We start from the raw sequence: 18008 nt of genomic DNA on the forward strand, positions 1-18008 counted from the left end.
TAAGCTACAAGAAGGGAGGGATTAGAATATAGATTAAGAGATATGACCTTAAATCTAATAAACTTAAACATGTCAGTGAGTTGCTGATTTAAACAAACCATAAAAAGCATGAAGACACAATCAGGGGAATTTGGACACTGACAGGATATTTTGTGATATTAAGAAATGATTCTGGTTTTTTTAAAAGATAGCACTAAAACTTACATTTTAGTGAAATATTTAATCTGAAATATCTGAAAAGATTTGTATGACACTGGTAAGTGAAAAAGGCAAGTTGCAAAATCATATGCATGGAAGAATCTCACTTTAGTAAATCTCACATTTATTTATTGTGGATATACTTAGATATCATACACATACATAGCAAAGTAATTGTAAAGATATAAAATAACATTGTTGTAGTTTAGGAAGATGTAAAATCATAATCGTTTTGTTTATATTGTTTTCTTTTCCTTTTTTTTGAGATAGGGTCTCACTTTGTCACCCAGACTGGAGTGCAGTGGCACAAACAAAGCTCACTGTAGCCTCGACCTGAGACTCAGTCAGTCCTCTTGCCTCAGCCTCTCAAGTAGCTGAGAATACAGGAGCACACCACCATGACCAGCTAATTTTTGTATTTTTTGTAGAGATGGGGTTTTGCCATGTTGCCCAGGCTGGTCGCAAACTTCTGAGCTCAGCACTTTGGGCTGCCAAAGTGCTGGGATTATAGGTGTGGGCCACCATGTTGGGCCTATTATTAATTTTTAAATTCATTTCTTTCTTTTTTCTTTATGTAGGGGCTTTTTTTTTTTTCTTTTGAGACAGGGTCTTGCTCTGTTGCTTAGGCTGGAGTGCAGTGGCACAATCACAGCTCACTGCTCAGTAGCTGGGACCACAGACGTGCACCACCATGCCCAGCTAATTTTTCTTATTTTTTGTAGAGTTAAGGTCTCCTGTGTTGCCGGGTTTGTCTCAAACTCCTAGTCTTAGCAACCCTCCCACCTCGGCCTCCCACTGGGAGGTGTGAGCCACTGTACCCAACCATGTACTTTCTGATTTGTTGTAATGAGTACATATTTTATTTATACTTTATTCATTTTTGAGACCAGGTCTTGCTCTGCTGCCTAGGCTGGCATGCACTGGTATGATCATAGCTCACTGCAGCCTGGAATTCCTGGGGTCAAGCAATCCTCCTACCTCAGCCTCCCAGGTAGCTGGGACTACAAGCATGTGCTACCACACCTGGCTAATTTTTGTATTTTTTTGTAGAGACGGGATCTTGCTATGTTGCCCAGGCTGGTCTTGAATTCCTAGGCTCAATTGATTCTCCTGCTTTGGCCTCTCAAAGTGCTAGTATTACAGCCATAAGCCACCATGCCTGGCCAAGTAAATGTTGTATAGAAAAATATTTTGAGGTGTGATAATGGTATTGTAGTTACATTTTAAAAGAGTTCTATTTTTAGAGATTGATAATGAATTTTTTTTTTCTTTTTGAGACAGAGTATCACTCTGTCACCCAGGCTGGAGTGCAGTGGTGCGATCTTGGCTCACTGCAACTTCCGCCTCCCAGGTTCAAGCAATTCTCCTGCTTCAGCCTCCCGAATAGCTGGGATTACAGGCATGTCCTATCACGCCCAGCTAATTTTTGTATTTTTAGTAGAGATGGGGTTTTACCATGTTGGCCAGGCTGGTCTCGAACTCCTGACCTCAGGTGATCTGCCCGCCTCGGCCTCCCAAAGTGCTGGGATTATAGGCGTGAGCCACTGCACCCGGCCTGATAATGAAATTTTTATAGATGTGTCAATGTTGTTGGAATCAAAATGGAGTCACTAGTGTTAAAAAAAAATCTCTGATAATAGAGCCAGGGAAGGCTATGAAAAGAGCATTCTCATGCTTATTTGCCTGATAAGAATTATCACAAAAGATCCTATGAAAACCACAACCTTGCACAAAGGCCATCACAACCTTATACAAAAAATATTTCTGCAAGGACTTCTGCCCAGCAACTGCCTGTTCAACCTTGGACTGGTGTCACCCTTATTATTGATCTTTGTAGCCAATGATAATTATTTTCAAAGAATCATGTAATCCTTCTCATTTTTTCCTTTGAAAACATGTGTCTTCCTTTACCTCCCTGAATACCTCATAGTTTACTATGGTACACATATTCCCATTGCAATGCTCTATTCCCGCATAAATATCTTTTTCTCTTAGACAGCCTCCCTCTGTTCGTTACTTAGGTTGCCGAATGAAATGATATATCTAGAATTTGTTTCATAATAATCAAGGATAGGAGAAAGTGAGTGGGGACACAGTGAAACATGATTGCCCATGAGTGGATAAATTATGGAAGCTGAGTGATGAGTACATGTGAATTCATTTTACAAGTTTATCTGCCTTTGTACATATTTGAAATATTCCATTAAAAAAAAGTTCATCAGATCTAAGATGGTAAACCAATAACAACAACAAAAAGTTCAAAAGTAAGATTCCCAGGCCCTACTCCCAGAGAACTTGCATTTAAAAATATTTCCCAAATGATTCTGATATACACTCAGCTACTGAATTAGATGATAGCTAATAACCCATTAATATAATTTTAAAAATTATTTTCTATATAATTCAACTGATATTTATATAGTAAAGAATTTGTGGGCCAGGTGCAGTGGCTCATGCCTGTAATCCCAGCACTTCGGGAGGCCAAGGTGGGTGGATCATCTGAGGTCAGGAGTTTGAGACCAGCCTGGCCAACATGGTGAAACCCTGTCTGTACTAAAAATAAAAAGAAAAAATTAGCATAGCATGGTGGCACACACCTGTAATCTCAGCTACTCGGGAGGCTGAGGCAGGAGAATTGCCTGAACCTGGAAGGTTGAGGTTGCAGTGAGAGGAAGGAAGGAAGGAAGGAAGGAAGGAAGGAAGGAAGGCAGGAAGGCAGGCAGGCAGGCAGGCAGGGAGGGAGGGAGGGAAGGAGGGAGGGAGATTTCTCTGTTCCCAAAATGACAGTCAGCAGCAAGAAAAAAGGTAAATTCCTTTATTTTTATTTTTACTTTTTTTTTGAGATGGAGTTTCACTCTTGTCACCCAGGCTAGAGTACAATGGCAAGATCTCTGTTCACTGCAACCTCTGCCTCCCAGGTTCAAGTGATTCTCCTGCCTCAGCCTGCCGAGTAGCTGGGATTACAGGTGCACACTACCATGCCCAGCTAATTTTTTTGTATTTTTAGTACAGACGGGGTTTCATCATGTTGGCCAGGATGGTCTCAAACTCCTGACCTCAGGTGATCCGCCCGCCTCGCCCTCCCAAAGTGTTGGGATTATAGGGGTGATCCACTGCGCCTGGCTGGTAAATTCCTTTAGTTCACCGAGGAAGGATAAGCAACAGGTCACCCTGTAGCCCTTAACCCTAGGGGGAGGGTGGCTTGGTGGAGATGTTTGCCAGTTTGCAGAACTTATTGTTCTTCTGCCACTCAGCCCTCGTGTCTCCTTTCTTCTTCCAAGCTTCCCTCCCCTACCCTCCAGATTACCTGTTGTTGGTAGAAGTTGCTAGCGCTTTGTTCAAATCGTTCATCTTTGGTTTCTACAGCTTTCCCCAATTTCTGCAGCACCTAGGGATATAAGTCAGAAAGGCCCGTAAGGTTATAGTCAAGTCTCTCTTACATGTTGGCCTCATATGACCCTGGCTTCAGTCAAGAATCTCACTTACAACTCAAGGGCTGTACTTATTTATTTATTTATTTATTTATTTATTTATTTATTTATTTATTTTTGAGACGGAGTCTCACTCTGTTGCCCAGGCTGGAGTGCAGTGGCACGATCTCGGCTCACTGCAACCTTCGCCTCCCAGGTTCAAGCAATTCTCCTGCCTCAGCCTCCTGAGTAGCTGGGATTACAGGCGTGTACCACCACGCCCAGCTAATTTTTGTATTTTTAGTAGAGACGGGGTTTCACCATGTTGGCCAGGCTGATCTCGAACTCCTGACCACAAATGATCCACCCGCCTTGGCCTCGCAAAGTGCTGGGATTACAGGCGTGAGCCAACATGCCTGGCCTTGAAGGGCTGTACTCTTACTGGACCAAAAGAATTAGGAATACAACAAACTGCTGAAAAAACAATCCTGTTCTGTAGTTCTTTTCAAATTAGGGGTAGCTCTAGGGGATACGTAGTAGTGAGCTAGAGGATATATATTAATATAAAGCTCAGAAGAAATAAGGTATATCTGGCTGGGTGTGGTGGCTCACACTTGTAATCCCAGCACTTTGGGAGGCCAAGGCAGGTGGATCACCTTAAGTCGGGAGTTCGAGGCCAGGCTGACCAGCATGGATAAACCCCATCTCTACTAAAAATACAAAATTAGCTGGGCATGGTGGTGCATGCCTGTAATCCCAGCTACTGGGGAGGCTGAGGCAGGAGAATCGCTTGAACCCAGCAGGCAGAGGTTGCAGTGAGGCAAGATCGCACCATTGTACTCCAGCCTGGACAACAAGAGCGAAACTCTGTCTCAAAAAAAAAAAAAGAAAGAAATAAGGTATATCTTTCTGAATGTCATTGTTATTATTGTCATTATTTTATTTGAGACAGGGTCTTGCTCTGTTGCCCTGGCTGTAGTACAGTGGTGCAATCACAACTTACTACAGCCTCAACCTCTCTGGGCTCAAGCAATCCTCCCACCTCAGCCTCCCCAGTAGCTGGGACCACATGCTCACACCACCACACCTCACTAATTTTTAAAAATTTTCTGTAGAGACAGGGTCTCACTATGTTGCTCAGGCTGGCTGAACTCCTGGGCTCAAGTGATCCTGTTGCCTCAGCCTCCCAGAGTTCTGCAATTATAGGCATGAGCCATTAGGCTGGCTGGCATTGTTATTATTATTATTATTTTTTTTTTTTTGAGACGGAGTCTCGCTCTGTCGCCCAGGCTGGAGTGCAGTGGCACTATCTCGGCTCACTGCAAGCTCCGCCTCCCGGGTTCACGCCATTCTCCTGCCTCAGCCTCCCGATTAGCTTCGGACTACAGGCGCCCGCCACTATGCCTGACTAAGTTTTTTTGTATTTTTAGTAGAAACGGGGTTTCACCTTGTTAGCCAAGATAATCTCTATCTCCTGACCTCGTGATCCGCCCGCCTCGGCCTCCCAAAGTGCTGGGATTACAGGCGTGAGCCACTGCGCCCGGCCTGTTATTAATATTTAAAGTGGGTTTTTGAGAAGGAAGGAGAAAAGCATTATATTAAAACAAGTATTGTTGAGAAAACTGTAAACTGTGCATGGCTTTTAAGTAAAATGTGAGCCCTGAAGACATTTTTTACTTGAGAGACTGTTTTCAGCTATAGCCATAGGTTCCTCTAGATAGATGAGGTTAGAGAGGTTGGGCAGGGACACTTCTCTCATGGGGGCTTTTGTGGAAAACTTTGAGAGGCCCCGATATAATGCATTTGAAACTCAGCTAGACCTGAATGCTATCCATGTCTATCACCTCTCAACTAGAAAACCTGAGAGCCAAACCGTCATACTGATGTCAGTGCTAATGCAAAAGACATGTGGATGAATAAGACCCAGTCTCTGTTCTCATAGGACCCTCACTTATAAACAGGCAATTACATGTAGTAAGAAAGCCCTGAGTCTTCTGCCTATAACCCCCATCTTGGAAGGAGATACCATCATCCTGCGAAGTCCAAGTTAGAATCTCGGGAGTTGCCTTCAACTACTTCTTCATCCTCTTCATTGAATCCCTCGCCATGTCCATCTCTAGAAACCATCTTATTCCCCTGGTCTCACTGCCACAGCCTTAGTCTAGGCCCTCACTGTTTATTACCTGGCCTGCTGCAATAGGTCTACTATGCTGCTGCTCCTTAAAATCTTCTAATGGTTCCCCATTCATCTGTTCAACAAATTTTTATTAAATGCCCAATATGGGCTAGGCGCGGTGGCTCATGCGCCCGGCCTTGGGAGGCCGAGGCAGGCGGATCACTTGAGGTCAGGAGTTCGAGACCAACCTGGCTAACAGGGTAAAACCCCGTCTCTACTAAAAATACAAAAAAAAAAAAAAAAAATTAGCCGGGAGTGGTGGCAGACGCATGTAATCCCAGCTACTTGGGAGGCTGAGGCATGAGAATCACTTGAGCCTGTGAGGCAGAGGTTGCAGTGAGCCAAGATTGTGTCACTGCACTCCAGCCTGGGTGACAGAGGGAAATTGTCTCAAAAAAAAGAGAAAAAAAAAGTCCAATATGTATCTTTAAGTAATAGTTCAAATTCTAGCATGCATGCAGGTCCCAAGGCTACATTAAGCTTCACTTCTCATACTCCTCCTCTCTGCAGGTCTCCTTTCCTAACACTTTTTTAGTTTCCCAAATAACCCACACTGTTGCTTGTCATAGATGCTGGTCCCTCTTTCTAGAATGCCTTTCCTCACCTTGTCTGCCAGGCAAGTATCTTACAAAACCCAGTTCAACTCCGTATCTTTTGTGATACTTAACCACATCCACTTCATCCCATTGATCGATTATTCACTCCCTTCCAAGTGCTTGCAACTTCTGTATCTTGTATACAGTCCAATTGTTGTTTTATTACTACTACTACTATTATTATTATTATTATTTTGAGACAGAGTTTCGCTCTTGTTGCCCAGGCTGGAGTACAATGGCGTGATCTCAGCTCACCACAACTTCCGCCTCCTAGGTTCAAGCAATTCTTCTGCCCCAGCCTCCTGAGTAGCTGGGATTACAGGCATGTGCCACCACGCCTGGCTAATTTTGTATTTTTAGTAGAGATAGGGTTTCTCCATGTTGGTCAGGCTGCTCTCGAATTCCCGACCTCAGGTGATCCGCCCGCCTCAGCCTCCCAAAGTGCTGGGATTACAGGTGTGAGCCACTGTGCCCGGCCTGTTTTATTATTTCTATTTGTTTATTCTCCTAAACTATAGGCTCCTTAAGGTTTAGGTACTTGCTTTGTTCATTTGGATTTCTCAGTATCCAGGAACTAGATATTTAATAATTGTAACAGGAAGGAGAGTAAGACTGATCTAGGAGAGGATATAGGACTGAATGAGTGGAGCCTTGGAGTAGGATTTTCTAGACTGAAATAGAGTATAGGGGCTAGGCGCAGTGGCTCACGCCTATAATCCCAACACTTTTGGAGGCCAAGGCGGGTGGATCATCTGAGGTCAGGAGTTTGAGACCAGCCTGACCAACATGGTGAAACCCCATCTCTACTAAATACAAAAAAAATTAGCTGGGTGTGGTGGTGCACGCCTGCAATCCCAGCTACTTGGGAGGCTGACGCAGGAGAATCGGTTAAAGGGTTGCAGTGAGCCAAGATTGCGCCATTGCACTCCAGCCTGGGCAACAGAGCGAAACTCTGTCTCAAAAAACAAAACAAAAAATTAAATTAAATTAAATTAAAAAAGAAAAAAAAGGCCGGGAGCGGTGGCTCACGCCTGTAATCCCAGCACTTTGGGAGGCAGAGGCGGGTGGATCACGAGGTCAGGAGATCGAGACCATCTTGGCTAACACGATGAAACCCCGTCTCTACTAAAAACACAAAAAATTAGCCAGGCGTGGTGGTGGGTGCCTGTAATCCCAGCTACTCAGGAGGCTGAGGCAGGAGAATGGCATGAACCCGGGAGGCGGAGCTTGCAGTGACCCGAGATAGCGCCACCGCAGTCCGGCCTAGGCAAAAGAGCAAGACTCCGTCTCAAGAAAAAAAGAAAAAGAAAAAGAAAAAAGAAATAGAGTATAAAGGGTGACAGCAGAAAGAGGATTCCAGTTAGAGACAACAGCATCAGGAAAATCATAGGAGTACACAGCTTCACTAGCTGGTTCAGCATGGCTGTTATGGGGAGTGGTGGGGAATGAAGCTAGAAAGGGAGACTGGAGTTTCATTGTGAAGGGCTTTGAATGCCATGCAAGAGTGCCCAGATCTGGGGAGTGTGGCAGGTTCTGTGGAGAGACTCTGATTCATATCTCCATTCTTTTTTTTTTTTTTTTTTGAGACAAGTCTTGCTCTGTCGCCCAGGCTGGAGTGCAGTGATGCCATCTCAGCTCACTGCAACCTCTGCCTCACCGGCTCAAGCCATTCTTCTGCCTCAGCCTCCCAAGTAGCTGGGATTACAGGTGCCCACCACCACGCCTGGCGAATTTTTGTATTTTTAGTAGAGACAGGGTTTCGCCATGTTGGCCAGGCTGGTCTTGAATTCCTGACCTCAGGTGATCTGCCCACCTCAGCCTCCCAGTGTTGGAATTATAGGCGTGAGCCACTGGGCCACCAGTATCTCCATTCTTAATCCGGGGGTGTGTCTCATTCCTGGAGCTCTTGCTGTAGTGGATAAGATCAAGCATTCTGGAGTTAGACAGATATGGGCTCCTATCTTGGCCTTTCTACTTACTGACTGTAAGTCTTCAGGCAAGTCATTAAAACTTTTGAGCCTCGGTTTACAGAACTCCCTTTCCCCCATTAGATAATATTTATCTCCTTGAGTTGTCAGGAGGATTAAATGATATTTTGCATGTAAATTGCTTTCTCAGAGCTGCCCTACAAAGAGCACTCAATAGGTACTCACTGTCATTATGTTTAGTTTTGCTCCCTTGCCTGTAAATGCTTATATTTTTGGTTTGGCCATATCTGTTTGGTTTGGCCATATCTGTTTTTGTCCGTCTCTAACTGCACCTCACTTGCCACCCAGCCCTGGATGTGCAGTCTGCCATCCTCCCTGGCTCCACCCTTCTCAGCTAACAAAACACTGTTCTCTACCAGAAAGTTGCAAAACCACCTTGTTAGTGGTAAGTGCAGCTCTTAACTTCCTTTCTGCTACCCCTCCCTTCCTTTGTCCCTAATTTGGTTCTTCTTAGGTGGAGAGGACAGAAAAAACAGAAAAGAGAAAACTCAGTCTAGAGTCAGTGTAAGGGATGACTGGGGCAGACCAATCTCCCCAATCCCCAAAAGGCTCAAGGCCAAAAGGCTTGGAGAGTGTGGGGTCGGGGGTTGGGGGGTACTGAGAGAAACTTCCTCACCCTCCAACTCTGAAAGTGAAAAGGTGTTACCACCCTGAAACATACCCCAGTACTCTGGAGCCAAAGTAATTTGTTGCCATAAGCAACAGGTACATGTTAGGGCACTTATACTGTGTCATGGGTGTTCTTCCCAACGAAAGACCCTTGAGGGAACAGGGTGTACAGATGCTAAACAGATGTTTGTTGAAACAATGAATAAATTCTACTTTTGGATCACTTCCTAATGAAAACCCATATAATGCTAATCCCTAAAATCCTGCTTTGAGAATTCTGTCCCAATTTATCTGGCCTGGCAGCTAAATTAGAATATAGATATTTAAGGAGAAAGAGCAAGAGCAAGGCAAAAAAGTAAATGTGGCAAAACGTTAACACTTGGTGAATCTGCATGAAAAATATTCCAGTGTTCATTGATTATTTATAACTTTTCTGTAGATCAGGGTTGGGGTGGAAATAGAGCTTTAAAAAAAATTACTACATATATCTTTGGTGGCTATAGTTCCCTACCATTGCCTCTCCCATAATCATTTATTATATTTTAGTTAATTCCCTCAATTGGGGTAATTTGCATAGGGCCTGGATATTTGATATTATAAAATTTTGCTAAAATTTTTTCTTAGGTGCAGTAAATTTTTGTGGTTATGTAGGAAATCTTTCTCTTTCCTTCCTTCCTTCCTTTTCTCCCTCTCTTTCTTTCTTACTTTCGAGACAGAGTCTAGCTCTATTGCCCAGGCTGGAGTGCAGTGGCACAATCTCAGCTCACTGCAACCTCCACCTCCCAGATTCAAGCGATTCTCCTGCCTCAGCCTCCAAGCAGCCAGGACTACAGGTGTGCACCACTAGGCTAATTTTTGTATTTTTTGGTAGAGATGGGATTTCGCCACATTGGCCAGCCTGGTCTCGAACTCCTGGGATTTCGCCACATTGGCCAGCCTGGTCTCGAACTCCTGACCTCAGGTGATCTACCCACCTCGCCCTCCCAAAGTGTTGGGATTACAGGCATGAGCCATGGCGCTTGGCCGGAAATCTTTATTTTTAGGATATATGATAAAGTAAGCTTTCCTTAAAAGGTCCTAATATACTTTTTCCAGCCTTTGCTCTGACCACTCCCTGTGCTCCAGCTGAGCTGTAGTTCTCACTCCAGTCTCCATGCCTTGCTTATGCTGGCACTTCTCAGCTAGAATGCTCTCTGATCACGTGTCTGAAAAACTACTAATCTCCCATAATTCCTATTTCAAATTCAGCCTCCACTATAAAACCTCTCGATTCTCCCCAATCCTTTTGTCCTCTGAATAGACCTGCATCTCTCAGGTCAGTTATTTTATTATCATTATTCTTTTTTTTTTTTTTTTTTAACTAGATCTTAAGCTTTTGGCAAAGCAAGAATGTCTCTTACCCCTAAATTCCCTGCTGGGTCCAGCCCAGTACCCTGAACAAAGGAGTTTTTCTGTAAATATTTGTGGAATTTAACCCTCTGGGATTTAAGCTGAGTAGATGTCAACAGAGGAGAAGACCAACAAAGGAGTGGTAAACAACGCCCCTTCTCAGGGGGATCTGAGAGGTTTGCCACAGAGAAATCACAAACAGATGGTGAAAGCAGTACTATAGTTGGAAATGAGAAGATGTATCATACTAAAAACACACACACACACACAAACACACACACACACACTCTAAAGCCAGCTTAAATTCAGTCCCATGTTGAGTTTGGGCGGGAAATGGAAAACAGACCAAGAATGTTTCATCCCTATTGTGTTTAATGGTCACCAGACCTCCACTCCCAGCTTTTCAGAGGATGCCTGAACAAAAAGTGTTTCTACTTCTGAGCTCTGTTCCTGAGAGAGGATCAGCAGGAAGTGGGGGAGGCACAGATGTGAGAGTGGCTTATCAGGAACGTTGTAAAGCAGCAGCCTGAGTGAGGTTAGGATTCAGAGGCAGGACACCTGGGTTTCAGTAATATTTCTGCTACCTACCAATCTCTTTTGAGCCTTGTTTCCTTATTTCTAAAACAGAGATGCTAATAACCTGCTTAAAGTGTTGAATAGATGAAGGGAGATGACATCGGTAGAATGTTGGCTCCATAAAGGGAGAGAGAATCACTTTGTCTTTTTTTTTTTTGAGACAGAGTTTTGCTCTTGTTGCACAAGTTGGAGTGCAATGGCGCGATCTCGGCTCACGGCAACCTCCGCCTCCCAGGTTCAAGCGATTCTCCTGCCTCAGCCTCCTGAGTAGCTGGGATTACAGGCATGCGCCACCACACCCGGCTGATTTTGTATTTTTAGTAGAGACGGGGTTTCTCCATGTTGGTCAGGCTGGTCTCGAACTCCCGACCTCAGGAGATCCACCTGCCTGGGCCTCCCAAAGTGCTGGGATTACAGGCGTGAGCCACTGCACCCCGCTGATAATCACTTTCTTATATCCCTGTCTCTGGTCCATAATAGGCGCTTGATATTTGACACATTTCACTATTTGACACATTAGCTATTACTTATTACTCAGAAGATTACATCCAACTGCTTGCAGAAAAAGCAAAAAGTGTTGCAAGGAATTCTTTCATTTTAGTGCAAATTTCTCCCTCTTTATCTTGGTCTCAATAACTTCCCAAGACTCAAGGACTGGCTTCAGGCTGACGGAGCTGAGCTCCCTTCCGGCATCCCAGGCCATTCCCACCTTATCGAAGTTCAACCTTTGCCTACCCTTTTGTCTAGTCTAGGTTCAGAATATCTTGTTTTCTTCATCAGCTGGGAATTCCTCATGGCAGATTTGAGTTTGCTCCTCTTTCTCTACTTCCTCAGGGTTCAGGCCAGAAGAACCTGAGAGACTGGTTCTGTCTTTGGGAAGTATTTGACTCTGAGTCTAATGTGACAGCTTTTCAATTTAGTGTTCTTACCATATTGAGTTTCATCAAGAACATCAACCCTCTCATTTTACAGGTGCAAGATCTGAAGCCCAGAGCAGGACATTATTTAGCCAAGGTTTGGAGTCTATGCTTACAAAGGAGTGAAAGCCCAAAGCAAGGTTTTAGTGTTGACGAGAGGCTAGATGAAGACAGAAGATGCAAGAGTGAAATACAATCAATTGTATGTCTTTTATTTTTATGTATTTATTTTTATTTTTTGAGACAGAGTCTCCCTCTGCTTGAGTGTGGTGTGGTGTGATCACTGCTCACTGCAGTCTTGATCTCCTGGGCTCAAGCAGTCCTCCCACCTTGGCCTCCCAAAGTGCTGGGATTACAGGAGTGAGCCACTGTGCCTGGCTGGTATGTCTTTTTAAAATTACTATCATTCATGAGTGTTTTGTCTTTTAGGGTTTTTTTTTTTTTCAACCACAGTGTGGCCTTCTCTCCAGTACCTCCTGCTCGCCCACACTGTTTCGAGCTAGACCTTCCCATAGGCCCTGCTCTCGGGTCTACCAGATTTGTAAGTCTTCAGAGAGGCTGAAACTAGGATCAAGGTGAAGTTAGGGTAAGTGAAGTAACGAAGTCTGGCTACACGAACTCTTTCCCTTTTCCTCCTCTCTTTCACATGACCTCAAATGATAGAAAATAACCTCCCTTCCATTGTGGTCTCTTAAAGTCAGGAGCTACATCTACATTCCATCAGTTTTCTGCTGATAAATCAACTCGGGAGAGCTGGTTGCCTTTAAGCCTTCCCAGGGCTCAAAGCAGTGCTCCACTTTTAGAAGATAATAGGGATATTTCAGTTGGTAAGCAGAGCTGTTCATCCAAATGCTTCTAAGTCCATCAGCTCTTAGAAAACCAAAACTTCTCCGTTGTAGAAGGCAGGTTGGGCTTAATAAAGAGAGAGAGAAAAAAAGGAAAACCGAAACTCTATCTCAGGTCCTTCTTGTCTTTCTTCCCTCGCTCTTTCTTCTGGCTGACATGTCTTCCCAAACCGCCTTGTCTACTAGAGGGTTGGTAGGTGGAGAGCAGAGGCTCAGGTTAGAAGCAAAGAAAATATTCTGTACAGGTAGAAACAAAAATGCCATCAAAATGTGTAGAGAATGTCCCCACAATTTAGATTGCCAAGCAAGTAATAGATGGGCAGCCCACCTAAGTGCCAGTGCTGGAGCAGGGCTACCTGACACTAACCAAGGACACACTCTGAACACAGATGTGGTTCATCACCCTGGGAGGTGTACTCCCCAACGCCAAAGGGAGGGTAGAAGAAGCAGATTTGGGCTCCTGCTTACGTCAGCTGAAACACCACCCAGAGGCCAGGCAGGGTCAGGTAGGGGGAGAACTATGCAGGATTATTCTAAGCCTTTGGTGGGGGGTGCCTGCTGGCATCCGCTGCATCGCTGTTTTTGGGGAAATTGCCCTCTATGGAAAATTACCCTCCAATTTCATCATCTGTAAAATACCAATTTTGGATTGCTAGCACAAAATTTGATACAAAGGTGGCCACCACCATCACTTCCTTTCTTTCACCTTTTCTGGGTCAGCCTGAGGGTTGTCGAAGGTTCTGCCCAGAGACTGTTGTCTCCCCAGCTTCCCTTATCCTTGCCCAAGATCGGGTGGCGGTCTCCGACCTCTCTCCAATCTGCCAGTTTTCATGGAAGCCCACTCCTCGCTCCCGTTTCCCTGGGAGAGCGGGAGACCCTTCTCGTCAGCCCAGACCCTTCGGGGCCCCTGAGCACCCTGCCCGCCCCTCCTGCCCGGCCGGGCTCGGCCTCGGCCTCGGCTCCCTGTGGGCCAGACAGACAGCGAGGCCCGGCCACCTACCTTCTCCTGGGCCCTGCTAAACTTCTTCTGCACCTGCTTGGCGAAGAGGCCGGCCGCGCCGCCTGCCTTGCCCTCTGCCATCCTGCCAACTCCCTGGGGGCCGCCGCCCTGGCCCCGCGCCCTGTGGTTTTCTGAGGCCCCCGAGGAGGAAGTGCGGGCTCCCGGCATGCCTCGCATCCGGCCCCAGCCCTGAGCCACCTCAGGCCGCCCCTGGCCAGCCCTGAGGCCCGCCCCTCAGCCCACCACTGTCAGCTGGAGCAGGCCGGCTCGGAGGGGCGGGCCCGGGGCCTACCCTCAGGCAGCGCTCGCTCGAGGCCAGCTTCCGAGCTCCAACCCCTGCCCGAAACCTCGGCCTCACTGAACCAGGTCCTCAGTGGTGGGCCCACACTCACTCGCTCCGGAAAGCCAGTTCCCATCACGCTGAGCACTGCAAAGCAACTGCCACCGCAGGGTAGAAAATGATGTGGGTTCCACTCAGCGAGAGGACCTACCATATCGAAAACACGTTTAGGTTCTCTGAGTATGCATGCGAAGCCGCCATGTACACTGCGTTTCTTGCTCCAGGTAGGCTCTAAGCCTGGAACTGGTAGGGATAGAGTGCAGAAAGCAGGCAGGACACCCGAGCCGGGCTTGAAAGAGAGAAACAGGCCGGGCGCGGTGGCTCACGCCTGTAATCCTAGCACTTTGGGAGGCCGAGGCGGGTGGATCGCCTGAGGTTAGGAGATCAGCCTGACCAATACGGTGAAACCGCGTCGCTACTAAAAATACAAAAATTAGCTGGGTGTGGTGGCGCACGCCTGCAGTCCCAGCTACTCGAGAGGATGACGCAGGAGAATTGTTTGAACCCGGGAGGCAGAGGTTGCAGTGAGCCGAAATCGCGCCACTGCATTCCAGCCTGGGCGACAGAGCGACAGTTCGTCTCAAATAAATAAATAAATAAATAAATAAATAAATAAATAAATGAGGAACAACTAAGCTGGAGATAGAAACAGGGTAGGGGGCTGGTTCTTAGGCAAGAGAATGATCACATTGAAAAAAGGCTGAGGAGGATAGTATGGACGCCCGTGCTGAGCATGAGGAGCAAGTTTTTCTAGTTGGAGTACAGTGTACTGGATGGAGGCAGAATGTGAACACAGACACAGATTGTGCAAATTGGGGTGCGGCTGTTGAGATGACAACTATTGTTTCTTTAGGGAGAAGTTCTCCAAAAAATTCCTCCCTGACCTGTTTGAGGGGATAGCTTGAGATTAGGACACTAGGTGTGGAGGAACCACGTACTCAGATTTTACAGTGCAGGTTAAAATTTCCTCAAGGCAGGGAAGAAGGTCAAAATAACACTTCCTAAGGAGTGGAGGGGGAAGATAGGGCCTGACACAAAATTAGAGGCCCTTGTATGCTACTGTGTTCCTCTTCTTTCTCCAAAACAATCATTACTGCACTCAAGGTCAACTGTGTACCAGGCATTGCTGGGTGTTCTGAAACAAGGATGAATAAAATGCAGTCCCTGACCTTAAGATGCTTAATGAAGTCTGGCCGGGCACCACGGCTCACACCTGTAATCCCAACACTTTAGGAGGCTGAGGCAGGCAGATTGCTTGAGCCCAGGAGTTTGAGACTAGCCTGCGCAACATAGCAAGACCTTCTCTCTGCTAAAAATACAAAAATTAATTGGGCGTGGTGGCACACACCTGTAGTCCCAGCTATCAGGGAGGCTGAGGTGGGAGGATCACCCGAGCCAAGGGAGGTGGAGGCTGCAGTGAGCCCTGATGGTGCCACTGCATTCCAGCCTGGGCAAAGCGTGAGGCCCTTTCTCAACCAATAAAGAATAAGTATTAATAAATAAGTACATAAATAAAGATGCTTAAAGTCTGGAAGTGGAGATAGGTGGGTAATCAGGTGATTCTAATGTAATGTGCTTAATTTATTTGTAGAGATGGATACAAAATTTTCTGGGAATAGGTGATTAGGGTTTGTTTGTTTGTTTGTTTGTTTGGAGACAGGGTCTTGCTTTGTTGCCAGGCTGGAGTGCAGCAGTGCCATCAGGGCTCACTGCAGCCTCTACCTCCCAGGCCCAAGTGATGGTCTCACCTCAGCCTCCTGAGTAGCTGGGACTAAGGTGCGTGCATGCCACCACTCCTGGCTACCCAGGCTGATCTGGAACTCTTGAGCTCAAGCAATCCACCCGCCTCAGCCTCCCAAAGGGCTGGGATTACAGGTGTGAACCACCTTGCCCTGCCAGGCGATTAGGGTTTATTCTGGATGTTAGCTTTGGTGATGCCCTGGAAGAGGCAGGGTGATGAAAATAGAAGGACTTGATATTGGATGGGGAGAAGTGGGGAGAAGCATGGAGAATAGCAGTACTGCGGGAACACTGAGAGTAGATGGCAATGCTAACAGGTGTGTCACTGGCAGAAGGAGGCCAGTACCTGTGTCCCTGCCAGGACTACATGGCATCCTCAGCAATGCAACCCAGCCACTGTCTCCTAAGAAACTCTGTTTAGTGCCAATATCTTGCAAACTGAAATTGATGGTCACCAAATCATGTAGTGTTAGAGAAGAAACAACCCTTAGAAGTTAATTAGATAGGGAAATTGAGTCACAGAAAGGGCTGATGACTTGACCACAGCCACCCAGCTCCTCAGTGGTGGAACTGGGATGGGAACAGACTCAGCCTCTTATAGCACATGGAGTGTTCTAGAGGCCTCTGCTGAGCCTGTCAATTCCAGGGTCTGTCTCAGCCAGTTTCTCCTTCTGTAATGTTTAATACCCTAGTCCCTCTTGTCTGGTCTTAAGTGATTGACATGAAAAGCTGCTTCTCATCCTTTTTAGCCTTCCCCTTTCAGTTCCCCCTTTGCTTTCTCATAGGCCACTCTAACAGACTGAGCCCTGGCCAGGATACAGCAGAATTATCAGTTTCCCAGTTCTCTGTGGTTTATAGAACCCTGGATCCGGTTGCCTAATTTTAGTCCCAGCCTTAAAGTGCTGATTCACACTTAGCTTGAGGCCCTATGTTGTTGTTGCCTCTTCCTTTCTGTTCTGCCTCTTCCCCTCAACCCTTTCGTTTCTTTGTTTAGTATCTTCTCTTCTCTCCTTTTTTCTATTCTTAGCTCTCCAGTCTCCATTGTTGTTTTTTTTTTTTTTTGAGACAGAATCTCACTTCATTGCCCAGGCTGGAATGCAGTGGCGCAATCTTGGCTCACTGCGGCCTCCACCTCCCAGGCCCAAGCGATTTTCTCCAGTCTCCTTTCTAATTTGTCACTTTCTTAGTCTGCTGGTATCTGCCCTGCCTCCTAATCTTATACTTCTATCTCTGGTGTATCCTAGTAGTTGCCATCACCCAGAAACTTGGAGTGGGCGTTCGTTTTAGGCACTAAAGGGGGAAACAAAAGAAGGATGAACCCACAGTATACCTGGGAAAGACAGGGCACATTCAGTCACTCAGGAAGTTTTTTGTTTGTTTGTTTTGAGACGGAGTCTTGCTTTGTTGCCCAGGCTAGAGTGCAGTGGCACGATCTCAGCTCACTGCAACCTCCACCTCCTGGGTTCAAGTAGTTTTCCTGCCTCAGCCTCTTGAGTAGCTGGGATTCCAGGCGCCTGCCACTGTGCCCAGCTAATTTTTGTATTTTTAGTAGACACGAGGATTCACCATCTTGGCCAGGCTAGTCTCGAATTCCTGACCTCGTTATCCACCCACCTCGGCCTCCCAAAGTGCTGGGATTACAGGCGTGAGCCACCGTACCCAGCCCACTCGGGAACCTTTTTTTTTTTTTTTTTTTTTTGAGATGGTCTTTCGCTCTTGTTGCCCAGGATGGAGTGCAACGGTGCAATCTTGGCTCATTGCAACCTCCACCTCCCGGGTTCAAGCGATTCTCCTGCCTCAGCCTCCCAAGTAGCTCTGTGCCTTCGAATATAGCAAATATCCACAGGAATAGGGCAGATGGACAGATTAGTGGATACATAGATCCTAAAGTAACCCAAAATGGATAACATAAAGCTACTCCCACTGGGTTTGTGTTGTGGACTGGTAGAGGTAGCAGCAAAGGGAAGACCCAGCCTGCAGATGTGGTGAAATCCAACTTGGATCCTATAACTGCATTTCTTCTAAATCAGTGGTCCCCAACCTTTTTGGCACCAGGGACCCGTTTCGTGGAAGACAATTTTCCACGAACCGGGGTGGGGGATGGTTTCGAGATGATTCAAGGGCATTACATTTATTGTGTACTACATTTCTATTATTATTACACTGTAATATATAGTGAACTAATTATACAACTCACCATAATGTAGAATCAGTGGGATCCCTG

At 46.1% G+C, this 18008-nt stretch overlaps 1 protein-coding gene and 1 long non-coding RNA gene across 9 annotated transcripts in view, besides 6 other annotated features; both read right to left on the bottom strand.

The window, feature by feature from the left end:
• The window catches only part of BIN2 (bridging integrator 2), a 43631-nt gene extending 29280 nt beyond the window's left edge, over positions 1-14351 (bottom strand). For 7 of the 8 annotated variants that reach the window (XR_001748746.2, NM_001290008.2, NM_001364781.1 and 4 more), the window contains exons 1-2: positions 13705-13857; positions 3506-3586 (exon numbers count right to left, since the gene is read on the bottom strand). Coding sequence is in view for 6 of the 8 variants with exons in the window: in NM_001290008.2 (NP_001276937.2) it covers positions 3506-3586; positions 13705-13785 (162 nt within the window). In the remaining 2 variants the exon portion in view is untranslated. Of the gene's footprint in view, positions 1-3505; positions 3587-13704; positions 13858-14195 lie in introns of those variants that run through there. The other variant, NM_001290007.2, reaches the window with a different exon arrangement.
• Positions 8568-8627: an enhancer, noted in NCBI's record as "active region_6375". NCBI's record gives its function as "activates an Ori minimal core promoter by ATAC-STARR-seq in GM12878 lymphoblastoid cells {active_cell/tissue: GM12878}" and the evidence as "EXISTENCE:reporter gene assay evidence [ECO:0000049][PMID:35858748]".
• Positions 8908-9077: an enhancer, noted in NCBI's record as "active region_6376". NCBI's record gives its function as "activates an Ori minimal core promoter by ATAC-STARR-seq in GM12878 lymphoblastoid cells {active_cell/tissue: GM12878}" and the evidence as "EXISTENCE:reporter gene assay evidence [ECO:0000049][PMID:35858748]".
• Positions 10328-10622: a silencer, noted in NCBI's record as "tiled region #8177; HepG2 Repressive non-DNase unmatched - State 24:Quies". NCBI's record gives its function as "represses a minimal TATA promoter and a strong SV40 promoter by Sharpr-MPRA in HepG2 cells {active_cell/tissue: HepG2}" and the evidence as "EXISTENCE:reporter gene assay evidence [ECO:0000049][PMID:27701403]".
• On the bottom strand, positions 12051-13691 carry LOC105369767 (uncharacterized). Its single transcript, XR_944957.3, has 2 exons — positions 13411-13691; positions 12051-12886 (listed from the first exon to the last, which is right to left on the bottom strand). It is a non-coding gene; the product is annotated as an uncharacterized LOC105369767 (long non-coding RNA).
• Positions 13383-13572: an enhancer, noted in NCBI's record as "active region_6377". NCBI's record gives its function as "activates an Ori minimal core promoter by ATAC-STARR-seq in GM12878 lymphoblastoid cells {active_cell/tissue: GM12878}" and the evidence as "EXISTENCE:reporter gene assay evidence [ECO:0000049][PMID:35858748]".
• Positions 13603-14092: a silencer, noted in NCBI's record as "silent region_4466". NCBI's record gives its function as "represses an Ori minimal core promoter by ATAC-STARR-seq in GM12878 lymphoblastoid cells {active_cell/tissue: GM12878}" and the evidence as "EXISTENCE:reporter gene assay evidence [ECO:0000049][PMID:35858748]".
• Positions 16788-17082: a silencer, noted in NCBI's record as "tiled region #12465; K562 Repressive DNase matched - State 5:Enh". NCBI's record gives its function as "represses a minimal TATA promoter and a strong SV40 promoter by Sharpr-MPRA in K562 cells {active_cell/tissue: K562}" and the evidence as "EXISTENCE:reporter gene assay evidence [ECO:0000049][PMID:27701403]".

This window comes from Homo sapiens, chromosome 12, assembly GCF_000001405.40.
Source record: "Homo sapiens chromosome 12, GRCh38.p14 Primary Assembly".
NCBI classification, from domain to species: Eukaryota; Metazoa; Chordata; class Mammalia; order Primates; family Hominidae; genus Homo; species Homo sapiens.